The 18716-nt window shown below is 34.4% G+C and overlaps 1 protein-coding gene across 4 annotated transcripts in view; it reads right to left on the bottom strand.

Moving 5' to 3' along the window:
• The window catches only part of CNBD1 (cyclic nucleotide binding domain containing 1), a 562238-nt gene that overhangs the window by 527869 nt on the left and 15653 nt on the right, over positions 1-18716 (bottom strand). For 3 of the 4 annotated variants that reach the window (NM_173538.3, XM_024447082.2, XM_017013149.2), the window contains exon 2: positions 13173-13242. The exons of the other annotated variant lie outside the window; for it this stretch is intronic. In NM_173538.3, the coding sequence (NP_775809.1) occupies positions 13173-13242 (70 nt within the window). The remainder of the gene's footprint in view (positions 1-13172; positions 13243-18716) is intronic. 4 annotated transcript variants of the gene reach the window in all.

Below are 18716 nucleotides of genomic sequence, written 5' to 3'. Positions count from 1 at the left end.
ATAACTAACTTAAGTTCTCCCTACTTTGAGAATCAATATCTGATTTGCATATAAAACTGAAGTCCTGTAACCTTATATGAAGTATTTAAACCTTTCATTTTTTTTTATCTTTAGAAAAGGACTTCCTATCTTTAGGATTGTTATAGTAGCTAGAAATAATAAAAGTAAAACTTCAGGCCCACTGTTTATAGTCTATTAGGCAAGTAAAAATGTTAATTGTTAATGTAAATCCAGGTACAGAATGTACAGCATTTAGATATCAGACAGTTTAAAAATTTTATTAAAATCACAGGGCTAGAAGCCTCACTTTTAATGGAAAAAAGGACAAGAATGTGAGTCACGATCAAATCTTCCTGTAGCAATACATACAAATGCAATGCCTGTCATGTTAAATGCGATTAAGACTGAAAAAATCTAGTTATGAGAAAGATTTCTTTATTAAAAACTACCTAGACACAGACTCAGGAAAAACTTTTATCATGAGAACAGAACTATTAAAAAGGAAATATCTGGCACTCATATTCCTGTAGTGTAGAACGTATCTTATACCTTAGAAGAACATACCTTATACCTTAGAACATACCTTATACGCACACATGCCAAAATGCAAAAAAAGAAAAAAAATCTTCAAGGTTTTTGCAGCATGGCAGTCTTAATTCTCTAAAGAGCCCTGTTGTTGCACATATCCTGCATAACAAATTTCTGGTGCATTATTGGTCTTATGAAAGGTGACCTAGGTCTCAAAGGCCCACCACATTGCAAGAAAAGAGGGGGGAAAGTGAGTGGATACTTGAGATGTGACCAATGGGCAGAGAGGAGGGGTAGGGTGTGCTGAAGGCAGTCACTGATACGAAGGAGCATGGGTGGGAGGAATTGAGCCATGACCAAGGAACAAGGAGGGGAGCCCAGCCATCTTTGTGGAAGGACTCTTGAAGGAGAATGGAGTAGCTTAGCTTGATGGTGCACACTGACCCTAGGAAGAGATAGATATAAATTCTCTGTTGAAGAATTTTTCATAATTTAGGCCACATGTTACTATTACATGTTAATAAGCAAATCTTTCACAGAAAGATCACCTGGAAAGACAAGCTGCCATAAGCGCAAGCCAGCAGCAACAACATCAGATTTATATCCCTAAGCCTATAAATTACTCTATGTTAGATATAAAATATAAAAGTTATATATAAAATCTTTATGAAAATAAAGGAGGGAATCACAATGATGATTAATAACAAGAGAATATCAGGAATAGCCAGTCAAACTTGAAGAACTAAGTGAAAATTCTCAAATTGAAAATTACATATATTTTTAGTATCTTTAAATTTTATTTTTACTGTATATATTTAAGTGTACAACATGATGTTCTAGAATACATACAGATAATAAAAAGATTTCTATAGGGAAGCAAATTAACATATCCATCATTTCATATAGTTACCCATTTTTTTTTTGTGGCAAGAACAGCTAAAATCTACTCATTTAGCATGAATTCCAAATACAGTGCAATGTTATTACCTATAATCCTCATATCGTATATTAGATCTCTTCACTTGTTCATCCTACATATATTCTACTTTGTATCCTCTGACCTACATCTCCCCATTTCCTCCCTTCACCCTTGCCCCTAGTAACCACTGTTCTCTATCTCTGTATTTGCGTTTTTTTAAATTTCACATATAAGTGGGATGATGTAGTATTTTACTTTCTGTGTCTGGCTTATTTAACTTAACATAAGGGCCTCTGGGTTCATCTATGTTGTAGCAAATGGCAAGATCTCATTCTTCTTTAGGGCTGAATAGTATTCCATTGGGTATATAAACCACATTTTTTATTTCTATTTTTTTACTTTTATTTCAGGTTCAGGGGTACACGTGCAGGTTTGTTACACAGGTAAATTGCATTGCCTTTTTATTCTTCTAACAGTGTCTTTGACAGAGCAGAAGATTTAAATTTTAAGGAAGTTCAGCTTAATCATTTTATCTTTCATCAGTCATGCTTTTGGTGTATTACCTAAGAAGTCATCACCAAACCCAACGTTACCTAGAATTTTTCTTTGTTATCTTATATGGTTTTATACTTTTGCATTTTAAATTTAGGTCTATGATCCATTTTGAGTTAATTTTGTGAATAATGTAAGGTCTCTGCCTAGACACATATATTTATTGGATATGGATATCCAGTTGTTTCAGTATCATTTATTGAAAATCCAAACTTTCTCCATTCAATTGGCTTGCTCCTTTGTTAAAGATCAGTTGACATATTTGTGTGGGTCTATTCATGAGCTCTGTATTCTGTTTAATTGATCCACTTGTCTATTTTGCTAATACCACACTGTCTTGATTGCTGTAGCTTTATAGTAAGTCTTGAATCTGAGTATTCATTTCTTTTTAAATTAGTAATTCAAAGAGTATACAAGCAAGAGAAAAATCTCTTGTAAAATTGAAAACAATGTAAGTTACTTTGAATTTTATTTTGACCACTATTCTGACCATCACTTAACATTGAACTTTTTCACCACCCTCAGAGAAAACCCATGTTAAATCAGTGAATATTCTTTTAATCTTTTTTGTGTCTTTATATACATTTCAGTGAACCAGTAGATATTTACAGATTTATGTTTACGTGTGTGGTCTTTGTATACAAAAGATATACCATATTATAAAATCTATCTGCAACTTACTTTTTTCCCATCCACAACATGACTTAGAGACCTGCCCATATTTGAACAAATAGATATGTCATTCTTTTTAACTTCTTCATAATATTTCATGGTATTAATATGCCATACTTTATTTAACTATTCCCCTAATGATGAACACTAAAGTTGTTTCATTTTTTTCTATCTCAAAAAAAATGCTGCAGTGAACACCCTTGTAAATGCCTTCCTATTTATGTGTGGGTGCTTCTCTGGGGTAAAATACTAAGAGGTACTTTTAGGGTACTGGGCATGTAATAGTTAATTATAAACACATAATGCACTCTCTATCCGTTCTGGAATGTTGAGTCTGGGAATTAGCAAACTGCACTTCATAGGCTTCCTTGCCAACTGTCTTATCCTATTAGATTTTGCCAATAGAAGGCGCAGGTAGTAGACTAGAAATCAGAAGAGGAAAAAAACATTATATTTTTGCTTTCTCTTTATCCTGTTACTGGTGACATTTCTGGAATTGGCTGTGTTCCTCTGCCTTCAGCCATTCATGGGTAGACTCACTATCTGCATTCTTGGGTAGACCCACTATCTTTAGCCATTCTTGGGTAGACTCACTATCTGCTTTCTGGTCCCTTCTTAGCAGTTCTAGCCTATCTGGGTGGTTCCTCCTAGACAATCCCAGAGCCTCTTTTCATACTCCATACCATGTCTGCTCTTTCAAGGCCCCCGTCTTAGGGTAGTAGCCACTTTGCGCAGTTACTTATTTGTGTTAACTCACCCTCCTCTTTTGGATCTTTTAACTCTTTGGTAACTAGATTTCTGTATTAAACACCCATATGTTTCAAATATTGAGGTACTTTTTGTTTTTTCATTGCATCATGGCTGATTTGGTGAGTTTCAAGACCAGCTATATAATTTGCGGGGCCCAGTGCAAAATGAAAATGTGAGCAGCTTGTTCAAAAATTACTAAGCATTTCAAGATGATGACAGCAGAGCATGAGGCCCTTTGGAGCATAAGTCACATGCCCACGAAATTGGTTCTGGTGATTCTCCCTATACATCTGCCACTTTTCCAGCAGCATATGAGAGCAGATCTTTTCCCACATTCTCACCAAGACTTGAAGTTATCAAACTTTTATAGTAGTTGATATTTTATGGATGAAATTTGTGTCTTGTTTAATTTGTATTCCATGAATTTATTGGCCATTTTAATTTTTTTTGATGATTTTCTATTCATAGCAATTTCCCATTTTTCTATTGGGTTATTTGTAGCAATTATTTACATACTTTAGGTATCAATCTTCTTTTGTGATTAACTCATGTTGCAGAATTTCTACAACTACTTTTCCCATTCTGTTGGCAAGAACACTCACTGTCTTATGGCCAAATCTAGCTGACAGGAAGCTGCAAAGAGTGGTCTTGAGTTTTTAATTTTAATAATTATGATTTTTTAACTAATGAAGGAATTCAGTAAATTTACAGGATACAAAGTCAATAAAAAATTAGTAGATTTTTATACACAAATAACAACACAAATGAAAAAGGAATCAAGAAAGCAATCCCCTTTATGATAGTATCAAAAAAACCCAATTTAGTAATAAATTAAACCAAGAAGGTGAAAGATCTGTACACTGAAAATTATAAAACAGTGATGAAATTTCAGATGACACAAATAAATAGAAAGATATACACTGCCCCAAAGACATCCCTGGATCAGAAAAATTAATATTGTTAGAATGTTCATATTATCCAAACCAATATACAGATTCAATGCAATCTTTAACGAAGTACTATTGGTACTCTGTGAAGAATGCCATTGGTACTTTTATAAAGATTGGGGGTATCACATGTACCCCCAAACATGTACAGTTATTATATACCAATTTAAAAACAATACATAAAAATAATTTTTAAAAAATAATTAAAATTAGAAATAGAATGCCTCCAACGTTGTTTTCCTTTCTCAGAATTGTTTTTACTATTTGGGGTCCTTTATGTTTCCTTATGAATTTTAAAATGGGAAAAGAATGAAATTGTACCCCTATCTTATGCCATACACAAAAATAAACTCAATAGTAGCCTCTACTTGGGAAAAATATTTGAAAACCAAAATATATCTGATAAGGGATTAATATTTAAAATGTATAAAGAACTCATACAACTCAATAGAAAACCAAACAACACAATTAAAAAATGTGCAAAGGACATGAATAAACATTTCTCCAAAGAAGACACAGAAATGACATAGAAATAGTAGAAACTATTTGCAAAACACATATTTGATAAATAGCTGGCATCCAAAATCTACAAAGAACTCTTAAAACTCAACAATAAGAAAACAAAGAAACCAATTTTAAAACAGACAGAATCTGAACAGATCCTCATCCAAGAAGACATACAGGTGGAAATTAGCTTATGAAAAGATGATAAACATCATATGTCATTAGGGAATTACAAACTAAAGCAACAAGATACCACTACACATTTACTAGAATGCCTAATATTCAAAACACCAACAACACAAATGATGATGAGGTTATGGAGCAAAAGAAACTCACTCATTTTGGGTGGGAATACAAAATGGTACAGCCACGTTGGAACGGTTTGCTAGTTTCTTATAAAGCTAAGCATAAGCTTATCATATGATTCAGCAAGCATGCTCCTTGGTATTTTCCCAAAAACCCATGTTCACACAAAAACCTGCACATAAATGTTCATAGCAGCTTTATTTGTAATTGCTAAAACTTGAAAGCAACCAAGATGTGCTTCAATAAGTGAATGGATAAAAACACTGTGGTATATCCATACAATAAATATTATTCAGCAATAAAAGGAATGAGCTATCAAGCCAAACACACACACACACACACACACACACACCATGCACACACACACAGAGAAAAAAATTTAAATACATATTGTTTAGTGAAGGAAGCTGCTGTGGTTTAAATGTGCCCCCCAAAATTCATGCTTTTGAAACTTAATCCCCAGTGCCACAGTGTTGTAAGGTGGGGCTTAATAAAGGTGATTGAGTCATGAGGGTATGACTTATGAATTAATGCCATTATCACATTAGAAGGTTAATTATCATGAGATTGATATAAAGCAAGTCTAGTCCTTGGTGTCTTTCTCTATCTTCTCTATCTTTCAAAAGCTTGCTTTCGCCTTCCACTCTTATACCATTAGATCACCCTTGCCAGATGCGAGTCTCATGCCCTTTGACTTCCCAGCCTCCAGAAGTGTGAGAAATAAATTTATTTTCTTTATAAATTATCTAATCTCTGATATTCTTTTATAGCAATAGAAAACAGACTAAGACAGAAGGCAATCTGAAAATAATATATACAGTATTATTCCAACTATATGACATTCTAAAAAAGGCAAAATTATGGAAACAGAGGAAAAAAATCAGTGGTTGTCAGGGGTTGAGGATAGGGAGAAGGGAGGGAGAAGAGATGGAGCAGAAGATTTTTAGAGTAGTAAAATTATTCTGTAACATTGAACACACGTCATTACATGGAATGGTTGTTCCATGTCATTATATACTTGTCAAAAGCCCTGCAATGTTCAACACAAACAGTAATTCCTAATGTAAATGGGCTTTAGTTAATAGTAAATAACAACATCGGCTAAAAATTGCAACATATATACCATGCTTCTGCAAGATATTGATCATATGGGAAACTAGGAAGGAGGGGTCAAGGTATGTATGGAAATTATACTTTCTACTCAATTTTTTTGTAAAGCCAAAATTATTCAAAAATTAATCTATTGGCCGGGCGCGGTGGCTCACGCCTGTAATCCCAGCACTTCGGGAGGCCGAGGCGGGTGGATCATGAGGTCAGGAGATCGAGACCATCCTGGCTAACAAGGTGAAACCCCGTCTCTACTAAAAATACAAAAAATTAGCCGGGCGCGGTGGCGGGCGCCTGTAGTCCCAGCTACTCGGGAGGCTGAGGCAGGAGAATGGCGTGAACCCGGGAAGCGGAGCTTGCAGTGAGCCGAGATTGCGCCACTGCAGTCCGCAGTCCGGCCTGGGCGACAGAGCGAGACTCCGTCTCAAAAAAAAAAAAAAAAAAAAAAAAAAAAAAAAAAAAATTAATCTATTAAAATATATGAATAAAATAGATTTAACTTGTAGTACATAATGTGGAATTAAGATGAGAAGAGATTTGAGAATGTAATTCCACTTATAAGTTTGGTAGTCCTGGATTCAGGTAATAAAAGCTAGAGTGGAGTAGTAGATTAAAAAATGAGTGATAAACAATAGAGATACAATGGAACAGCAGAATCTAATTATAACACATGGAGAAATAAAGAGAAAAGGTAACAAAACATGCCTGCAAGATTTTCATACTTTAATTACTGGGTAAATGCAGGCATTCCACAAGTATTTTTTGAATGTCAGCTATGTATCATGCACTGAAATAAGCAATAAAAACTCTCAAGAGCACCAAACTAATAGGGTTGCTTTTTTTTCCAGGAGTTTACAGGCTAACTGTAGTGATATGGATAGAAATAGAGAAAGAAAGCAAGTTTTCAGGAAAGAATGATTTGTTTCTGAAATCAAGATCTAGGGAAATCTGAAGGTTAATGAAATCCTAGCGATTATCTATAGCAACTCCTCTAATTTGAGTAAGTTTAAGATAATATCATCTAGACCAGTGTTCCTTAAGGGGAAGGGAAGATGGGAGAAGGAGGATTATTGACATTTTGGTTGGGACAGTGTGCAAGATTTTACTTCACATCACTAAAGGTTTAAAATCCCCCACTTCCTTCTAGTCGTGGTAATAACTATAAATGTGTATACATTTCAAATGCTCCCTAGTGAAGGTACTGCCCTAGGTAGAAAATCCCGCCTAAACAATTGGCTATAAGAGTGTACACGTTAGGTAAAACATTATGAATAGGCATGCCTTGAATTATAAGCCTCCAACTTGTTAACAACCTATTGAATAAATGTAAGATCCCACCTATCTCTGCCCACATTTTCTGCCATCCCAAAAGACAGGGCTGTTCTGGATTGAGAGTGCCAGCTAGTGGTCATCAGAGGAAACCTCAAAATAAAAAATGGCTTCATTCCAGACAAAGCAATGTTTAATGGCTCGAAGCTCAGATCATTTCTTTTATGTGTACATAAACCATCCTTTTAAAGCTCTCCTCCCTTTCCTTTCTCTTCCAAACTTTATATCCATAAAAATAAAAGTCCCCTATCTCTTCATTTCTTTATTTCTTAAGACAAAAATACATGTCTAATTATGTCCGGAAAGCCAACAGAATTATCAAAACATTCTCATTAAGAAAAAGAAAGGTTCTCACCAACATCCTGTGAGTGAAAAAAGGGAAGAAAAAGGAAAGTAAGATATTTTGAAACAAAAATTAATAACGAATATACTGTAAAGGGTTTTCCAGGAACCTCCTTAAAATCATCATAATTGTCTCTATCGAACTCTTAATACTTTTCTAATTAAATGTACTGAAACAATGAGAAACTACTCAATTTTTAATTTTTTCATTAAAGATTTACTATAAATCTTAAAATGTTATTTTCTTCTTTATTATAAAAGCATAACATTTCAGATATATTTTGAGCAAATGAGGGAAAATTGGGTACTCTATGACTTTGTCAGTTAGTTCTTTTGTTTTAAATAACGATGATTAACAATCATATTTAGGTTAAAGAGTTTCCACTAGATGATTGAGTTGACTTCCTGTTCTACAATTCTATGATTCTATCATATTGTGTCTTTGGAAAATTCTGAATGCTTGACAATTAATTTATAAATGGACTTTGGGCTAAAAGCTGTTCACAGGTGATAGTTTTTATAAGTATCCAACTGTTCATGGGTTATAGTTTTTATAAGTATTTGACCTTTGTTAATAATAAAAACCCTCAACAGAAGGAATGAACCTAAACACAATAAAGGCCATATATGATAAGCCTACAGTTAACACTATACTCAAAGGTGAAAAGTTGAAAATTTTTCATCTAAGATCAAGAACAAGACAAGTATGCCCACTTTCACTACTTCTTTTCAACACAGTATTGAAAGTTTTAGCCAGAGCAATTAGGCAAAATAAAGAAAAAAAATACAGCCCAATAGGGAAGGAAGCAGGGAAACTCTCTATTTGCAGACAATATGGATCTTATAAGTATAAAAGCCTAGAGACTCCACCAAAAGCTATTAGAATAAATAAATTCAGTAAAGTTGCAGGATATACAAAATCAACGTACAAAAATTAGTCATGCTTCTATATACAAACCACCCAAAAAAATCCTAGAAAAATAATTCTATTTACTATAGCAACAACAAAAATAGATTACTTAGGTGTGAATTTAACCAAAAAAGTTTAAAGATCTGTATACTGAAACACTAATGAAAGAAATTGAAAACGTAAATAGAAGGATATCCATGTTCACTGATTAGAAGAATTAATATTGTTAAAATGTCCATACTACCAAAAGTGATCTACAGATTCAAGGCAAACTGTATCACAATTCCAATGTCATCTTCACAAAAATAGAAAAAACAATTCTGAAATTTGCATGGAACTACTAAAGACCCCAAACAGCCAAAAGAGTCTCAAGCAAAAAGAGCAAAGCCAAAGGCATCTCACTCCCTGAATTCAAAATATATTATACAGCTAGTATAATCAAAAGAGTATGATGCTGGTATAAAAACAGACATACTGATCAATGGAACAGGATAGAAAACCCAGAAATAAACCCACAGTTATAATAAATTGATTTTTGACAAAATTGCCAAGAACACACAATGGAAAAAGGACAGTCTGTCTAATAAGTGGTGCTTTAAAAAACTGGATATCCACAGCAGAAGAATGAAATTAGACCCTTATCTCTCACCATATACAAAAATAAACTCAAAATGATTAAATACAAAAGATCTAAAACTTAAACATAGAACTGCTAGGATAAAACATAGGGGAAAAGTTCCATGACATTGGTCTAAGCAACGATTTTTTGAGTATGACCTGAAAGCACAGGCAACAAAAGCAAAAACAATCAAATGAGATTACATCAAACTAAAAGCTTCTGCACAACCAAGGAAACAATCAACGAAGTGAAGAAACAACCTACAGAATGAGAGAAAATATTTGCAAACTATATATCAAATAAGGAATTAATATCCAAATATACAAGGAACTCAACTCAGTAGCAAGGGAAAAAAAAACAATTAAAAATGGACAGAGTTTTTGAACACCTACTTTACCAAAGAAGACATATGTATAGCCAATGTGTTCATGAAAAAAAAAATAACAAATGCTTGATAGCACTAATCAATGGGGAAATGAAAACTAAAGCCACAGTGAGATATTACCTCATATCTGTTAGAATGGCTGTTATCAAAAAGAAAGGTAAGTGCTGATGAGGACCTGAACTGAAAGGAACCCTCATACAGGTACATTGTTAGTGGGAATGTAAAATAGTACAGCCATTATGGAAAACAGTATGGAGTTTCCTCAGAAAGACTAAAAATAGAATTAACATATGATGCAGGAATCTCACTTCTGGGTATGTATCCAAAGAAACTGAAATCAATATGTGGAAGAGATATCTGCATTCCCATGTTTATGGCAGCACTGTTCACAATAGCCAAAATGTGAAATCAACCTAAATGTCCATCAGTGAATAAACGGCTAAAAAAATGTGGTACTTATGCACAGTGGAATACTGTTCGGTCTTAAAAAGAAGAAAATTCTTCTGCAACAACATGAATAACATCAAGGACATTATGCTAAGTAAGATAGAGCAGGCACCGAAAGACATATACCATATGATCTCACATAGAGGTGGAATCTGAAAACATGAAAGTCGTGGAAGCAGAGAGTAGAATGGTGGTTACTAGGAGCCAGGTTGCTGGGGAGGAATGTGGAGATGTTGACGAAAGGGTATAAAGATTCAATTAAACAGGAGTAAAAAGATTTTAAGATCTATTGCACAACAGGGTGACTAAAGTTAATAAAAATGTATTGTTTATATAATAGCCAGAAGAGCAAATTTCAAATGTCTCATCACAAAAAAGTAAGAGAAGTGATGGATATATTAAACATATTGATTTAATTATTCCACATTGTATACATATACAAAAACATATTTTATCACAAAAATGTATATAATTAAGACTTCCCGATTAAAATATTTAAAAATAATCCGCTCTCCAGACAATAGTTAAAAAAACACTATAAATCCATATCTATCCTAACTTATTTATAATCAACACAGAAAACTCTTGTACATTTTTTTGAATCATCAGAAGATATTTATTTCTACTGAACATCAAAATAAAATCCAGTGCAAAACATTGAACTCTATGCCAAATGTCAAGGAGTAGGAAGCACTAAAATAAATAAAATAAATCTGCCTTCATGGAGCTTGTAGTCTACTAGGATGAAAAATTTGCACTCAAAAATTTAGAAATCCAAAGTGATATCATCCCCCCTTTGTTATTAATTTTTTATTTTATCTTCAATAAAAAATCCCAGGATAATATACCAACCTACTGCCTTTATTCTAACAGAAGAAACTTTTTAGAATCAAAACTAATGCCCTTTGTGAGTTCTATGTACAAAAATTTAAAACCTTGAATCATTTAATTCTCAGCCTTTCTATTTTTATTATAGGGGAAAAGTGTAATTTATTGGTCACTTTTCATCTATAATACATAAAGAACTAATAATATGGAGAAATACATTTTTCCTAAATTGCCTCTCAATTTGTTGACATCACTTGAATTCTGAAGTTTTTAAATAATTCCTGTGAATGTATTTCTGGTAAATTGTCTAAAGAAATGTCAAGTGAGAAAAGGGACCTGAACTTCCAAGCTTTTATTAATTTGTTGTAATTTTATCCTCATTCCAAATAAATATTTATCTTCCTATCTGATTTTGTATTTGTAACTATATATTGTATTTCTAACAGAATGATGCAAAACCTATATACACATACCTTAAAACCTGTTCCCCCAGGCCCCTGGTGTGTACCAGTGCTCCAAAAGAACACATCCAACAATTTCAGGATTTGGGTTTCTAACAAAAGACATAGTAAACATAAGACTTACTAGAGGGAGTCAGGCAGTACAGCCAGATTGGACCTGAATGAGATAATTGTCTCACAAGACGACACCACCCAAGAGGAATGATTCAATCCAGGAAGAGTAAGGCTGATCACATTTATTTAGAGGGGATACTTTGAGAGAACTAGCTCTAGATGATTCAAGCTCTCTTATTATGACCCCCCAAAGAGAAAAAAAAACTAGAAGTATTTTGAAAAATGAAATGCGTCTGGGCCAGAAAGCAAAACGAAAATGAAAGCAAAAAGGACATTCAAAGCCTTGATTAGCATCTCATGCATTAGAAAAGGGACCAACATATAAGATAGATTCAAAGCTTGGATGTTAAAATTTTTCAAGACACTTAAAATATTGGATGAGCTTTTTTGCATAACAAAAATAATAAAAATAACTAACACTTCTGGAACCCTTACTATGTGCCAGACGCTATTTACATATATTAGGCTCATTTAATCATCCTAGTAACCCTTTAAAGTGAGTACTGTTATCTCCATTTTACCAATGAAAAAACCAAGGCAGAGAAATGTAGTAAGCAGTCTAAAGTCACACAGAGGGTAAGTGGCTGAGACAGGATTCACATCAGGCAATAGGTCTCGGGAGTGTGTGGACTTCATTCTTTACTCCATGTCGAAAGGCACTGGGTGCAAGGAGGAGGCAGCAATGCACAGGGGAAAATGATCCCTCTTGACAGAAATCCAAGCAATATCAAAGTTGCATGCCTTCTTCTCTCTCTCTGAGACAGAAGAAATGAGAAAATAGACAACAGTATAAAAATAATTTGAAATGGATTGCAAAGTACAAGGATGTGACTTGGAGATGTTTTAAAGTAGAGAGAGAAAACTCTGTAAACCTAAGGCCTTCCTCAACAGTCCCATGAAGGATGAGTGAAGGAAGGTAAGAGGGTGGATGGACACTGATGCATATGGAAGGAAATAACCAGTTTTATAATTCCAAAAACCCAACTTGGAGAAAGGAGTTGTCAAGGAAATAGATCTCTTAAAATTAAATCTTCAAGTATTACACATCTTAGGAATCCTGAGCTTTGAACAGTGATATTTCCTAGTTCTCTGGTTCCAGTATATTTCAATGAGGCATTCCCTATTCACTGCTCAGGTACTTATTTCATTCAGTATGTGTGTTTTCAACCACTTAAGGCTTTTTCCCCTTATGACTGCTTTTTAAGTACTACAAAGAGCCAGCTAGGAATGAGTTATGTTTGTTTCACACTAAATTGTTTCCTTAAGATGTGACATATATATTCTGCCCCTTCAATCTGAAGAAATAACCCCCAGGTTTTCAACTGTTTTTATCTGTGTGATAAATCAGGTACCTCTGAGAGCCAGCAATGGTTTATTACTATACTTTATCCCTAAAACAAAAATACTCATATTCATTTGAATGACAGAAAAAGAAATGCATGAATAGCTTACCTGTGTTGTCCTCTAATGTGGCATAATGCATTCAACTGGCCATAATTAATGTGCTTAGACTTTTTCAAGTCTGAAAAAAAATCAATTAAAAATTTGAGTAATTTTCCATAATCTTATTAAGCAAGTGTGTAAATAGAGTTTAATTGCAAACATTCATCATAGTGAAAGAATTCAGTGACTATGGAAGTGAGGTATTAACAGTCTTTGTTTAATACACAAGTAGAACTGCATAGGGTGATTAAGGTGAGGAAAGAATTTAATGTTTTTTATTGATGTCAAATCTGGTCTGGCATTTTTTTTTATTTCCAGTAAATGCTGAAGTTTGTCTGTGTTCATATAATGTCACTTCTCTTAAAGCAAGCCATGCAGAATCCCTATCCAACACTGTTACAAGATGAACTGGTTCCAGAACTTCAGACATGACAATTCGAGTAAGAGTTTTCTTAATTTGGTCTCTCACTTTCACTCTTGCCCTTCGATTCAATCCTACTTATGTCGGCCTATTCAATCCTACGCAGGTCCCCATCTTTTGTTCCCCCTCTTCAGAGCACCTTCTAGTGTCTGGATTCAGTTTGCAATTCCTTCTAAAGATCAAATGTAAGCAAATCATAAAGGAGTCTTTAAGAGCAGAAAGATAGTAATCATAGCCAAAAAGCAAACTAATTGTCATTCTTCTTCAGTGCCAGAATGGGCGGACATCCTTCAAATTAGATGGAAAGGAAGATAGAGCATTGCATATTATAGCATCTTTACAGTGATGGGCTTCTGCTTACTGCAGAAGAATGAGTGCTATTAGAACTGTTGTAAAAAAAAATAATAAATACTCACTTAGGCATATTACTCCTTTCTTTAGTGAAAAGTTATTGAGAAAATCAGTGGTTTAATGTATTTCTCAAACGTTAAAAAGTGCATTCATTGACCACATTCTAATTATGAAGAATTGGAATTTGACATCCAAACTTATCTGTTTTTACTTCTAGTTTTCTGAATCATTAAATTTGACTTGGTATAAAAATTTTGTGATCCTTTAGATTAATCACCAATAACAAATTGGTTTTAATCACCAATAACAAATACTGCTTTTCTAAATAAGAAATTGAAATAAGGGAAATTTAAGCAGACAACTGATTGTTATCCATATCATATCATATATATCCATATCATATCATATAAATCATATCATAATAAACTTGGAAATACTGATTACATGATTTAGGCATTTTCTTACCCACATTGCTCAGGTAAGCCTTAAGAAACAAAAAAGTTACCAAATTGTGTGTTAGCGTCATATGGAATAATTTATTTTAAATGAACCAAGCTGTCAGCTTACATATATCTAAACTACCTTTTAGTCTAGTAATATTTCTGATATATAAAATCTTAATCATAGATTTTTATATACATAGATTAGGAAGGAACTTCTATGAAGTATTCATTTAGCCTGTTTTTCTAATGGTGTTCAAGAAGAGTGTCAGTAATAGCTCTGATGAATGATAGGGACAGGAAAGGGAGATGGTGCCACAGAGATTTGGAAAAAGGTCAAGGTTTAAGGAATTCTGACCAAAAAAGAGAGGCTTTAAAAAAGTAAATATTCTTTATCCTTCATTTAAAGCAGGTGACAAAAAAATAAGACTTATAGAACAGAGAAGATAAGATTAAGAATTGCTAGCAAAGAATAGAAGGATTAAACTACTACTTTGCTTTTTATCTAACATTAACATTGCCTGAGAAAAGCTATAGCAGTAGAGGTCAAGGCTTCATAGTAGGCTTGGAACAGCCAAGTAAACTCAAAAATAGAATGGGCTGGATAGCACTCACAGCCTAGTAGAAGAACACTTTAATTCATCAAAACATCTCTTTGCTGATCCTCAGTTCTGAGAGGTATTTGTTGCAAGGCTCTTTCCGTGGAGGGTGTTGAGCAACATAATGGATCTTGCCTTTGAAAGCAGTTTCATTAAAAAGAAAAAAAGCCAAAGGTTTCAACATGAAATTGTAACTTTGTAAAGACCAGATGTTGAGCTTTTCTTGTGATCAAATTTAATACAGGGATAAAGTTTAAAGAGGTTCAAAGAGTATAAAGTTTACATTTGTTTTCCAGTCTTGTTTTTCCTGATGGATTTGCCTTAGCCTGGCTTTTGACAGAAGCAGAAAAGACTTAACCCTATAACACGGTTAAAATCAAGGGTTTAGACTAGAGTATATTTGAAAGAGGGCTGGAAAGGGGTTAGAAAATTAATCTTTAACTAGGAACCCATTGAGAAATTAAAAAACCGATTATCTTTATTGATATAAGGCCCACTGTATATTATTGGAATAGAAGAACTAAATTCCAATGTTTTGTTTGAATGTTATATTGATGATCATTTATATGTGTTAATGATTATTTAAGGTAGATATATCTTCATATGTGTGCATATAGTAAATTAAGTATGCATGTGATGGAAGTTAGAAATGTTTTTTGTGTTAAACGTAACTAAACTATTTTTCCCCAACAAGCTTTCCTTTAAGAGGTATATAAATACCCTTTGCAAAAAGCTAAGAGGAAGCAATAGAATAAGTGAAGGCTTAGAAATTCTGTAAATACATAGCCACAATTTACTCAGAGACCAGGCTTATCTGAGTGGCTAGGAGGCAAGAAAGAGATGGACAGCATAGCCCTAGAAAAAAATATCACAATGATCCTGCGGAAATGTCAGAGCAGAGTTAGCTGGAAAACACAGTGTAAAATGGCTTCAAAGTAGTTGGAGTACATACTCTAATAATTAATCCAATGATAAATGGAACCTTGCTTAATATGATTTTTAGAGCACAAAGAAGCAGTTCAGCAGCCATAGCAACAGAAATACTGGCAACAAACTTTTGTAGTAAGAATAGCAACCCTTATACAATAATAAGCAGAAGGTGAATTCTAGCATAGGACTGAAGTACTGAACAAGAAGCTGGATGGGAGAAAATAAAGAAAAGGATCCTTCAGAGACAATAAGCATGACTAAGTCTTCCTATATACTTGGATTAGTGATTTAATTACAGGGAGGAGTATGTTTTAAAATAAGTCTAAACCTATCTAGTGAGGTCACTAAACATACCTATGTTAATGGTTCATAGTGTATCTACCCATTTTTCAACTAGTTTTTGTTTTCTAAAATCTCAAAGGTAATTTTTCTTTAAATAATATAATATTAGATAGACATAAGGCACCCAAAAAGGGTGACTAAATAAACCTTCAGAGGCAAAAGAATAATGCCCAGTCAAAGTTTTCTATTAATAAATGCTGGCACACTGACAGAGACAATTCCCAAGTGGGCCTAGATTGTCCCTGTTCATTGACTGGGTGGGTTAAGATGTTAAAATAGAACTGTATTACCTGAGAAGAGAAAATGGGGGCAGTGGGGGAGTGGTGGGGACACATGAAACGGAAAGGGGCAAGGTTTTTTTGTTTTGTTTTGTTTTGTTTTGTTTTGAGACGGAGTCTCGCTCTGTCGCCCAGGCTGGAGTGCAGTGGCGGGATCTCGGCTCACTGCAAGCTCCGCCTCCCGGGTTCACGCCATTCTCCTGCCTCAGCCTCCCAAGTAGCTGGGACTACAGGCGCCCGCCACTACGCCCGGCTAATTTTTTGTATTTTTTAGTAGAGACGGGGTTTCACCGTTTTAGCCGGGATGGTCTCGATCTCCTGACCTCGTGATCCGCCCACCTCGGCCTCCCAAAGTGCTGGGATTACAGGCGTGAGCCACCGCGCCCAGCCGAAAGGGGCAATGTTTTACAACAAATTATCAAAATAACTTCTCTTTATACCCAGCATTTTTGGAAAAAATAATCTACGTTTATCTTTTCTATTTCCCCAACCCAAATTTACTCTTCCATCTACTATAATTAATCTTCTTCATATTTTTTGAAATTTTTTTCATTAAGATCATCAGAGACCTTTTAGATTCTAGTCAAATAACCTCCTTTCAGTCTTCATCTTACTACGCCCTGTGTGATGTTTGATACTGAAGTTTCTTCTTACTGGGTTTTTGTGACACCATTCTCTCCTTTCTTGCTTTCCCATTATTAGACTGCTCCATTGAATGCTATCTTCTTCCGTTAAGCATTGACGTTGGCCAAGAATCCATTCTCATTACCCTTGTCTTCTCTTCTCAGCTTAGATCCTCTTTTTGCATAATCTTATCTGCATTCATGTCTTCAATGATCACATTGATCTTAAGATTCTCAAATCAAACTCTCCAGCCCAGATCTCTAACCAGTGCTCCACTAATATTCACGTGAATGTTGCCCAGGAAAAGCAAACTCAAGATAACCAAAACTTCACTCAAAATTTCTCCCATGTTTATTTTGCCATATAAAACATGATCCTCTCCTGAATTTTGTCTGGATTAAGAAAATCCCTACCAATTATAATAACTTTGTCACCAATCTATTTTTTTTTTTTAACTTTTAAGTTCCAGGGAACATGCAGGTTGTGCAGTTTTGTTATATAGGTAAACGTGTATCATGGTGGTTTGTTATATGCATTATTTCATCACCCAGATATTAAGCCTAGTATCCATTAGTTATTTTTTCTGGTCCTATCCTTCCTCCCACCTTCCACCCTCCAGTAAGTCTCAGTGTATGTTGTTCCCCTCTATGTGTCCATGTGTTCTCATCTCTTAGCTCCCACTTACAAGTGAAAACACGTGGTATTTGGTGTTCTGTTCCTGAGTTTGTTTGCTAAGGATGATGGCCTCGAAATCCATCCATGTCCCTGTGAAGGACATAATCTTATTCTTTTTTATGGCTGCATAGTATTCCATGGTATTTATGTACCACATTTTCTTTACCCAGTCTATCATTGATGGGCATTTAGGTTGAGTCCATGTCTTTGCTATTGTGAATGGTGCTGCAGTGAACATATATGTGCATGTGTCTTTATAATACAATGATTTATATTCATTTGGGTATATACCCAAATAATGGGATTGCTAGGTTCAGTGGTATTTCTGTCTTTAGGTCTTTGAGGAATTGCCACACTGTCTTCCACAATGGTTGAGCTGATTTACAGTCCCACCAACAGGGTGTAAGTGTTCTTTTTTCTCTACAACCTCACCAGCATCTGTTATTTTTTTACTTTTTAATAACAGCTATTCTGACTGGTGTGAGATGGTGTCTCAGTGGTTTGATTTGCATTTCTCTAATGACCAGTGATGTTGAGCTTTTTTCCATATGATTGTTGGCCACATTTATGTCTTCTTTTGAGAAATGTCTGTTCATGTCCTTTGCCCACTTTTTAATGCGGTTGTTTTTTTCTTGTAAATTTGTTTAAGTTCCTTATAGATGCTAGATATTAGACCTTTGTCAGATGCATAGTTTGCAAAATTTTTCTCCCATTCTGTAGGCTGTGTGTTTACTCTGCTGACAGTTTCTTTTGCTGTGAAGAAACTCTAGTTTAATTAGATCTCATTTGTCAATTTTGCTTTTGTTGCAATTGCTTTTGGCATCTTCATCATGAAATCTTTGCCCATGCCTCTGAATGGTATTGCCTAGGTTGTCTTACAGGGTTTTTATAGT

Source organism: Homo sapiens, chromosome 8 (assembly GCF_000001405.40).
Source record: "Homo sapiens chromosome 8, GRCh38.p14 Primary Assembly".
In the NCBI taxonomy this organism is placed as follows: Eukaryota; Metazoa; Chordata; class Mammalia; order Primates; family Hominidae; genus Homo; species Homo sapiens.
The sequence above is the reverse complement of the archived record's forward strand: the minus strand, read 5'-3'. Positions and strand labels throughout refer to the sequence as shown.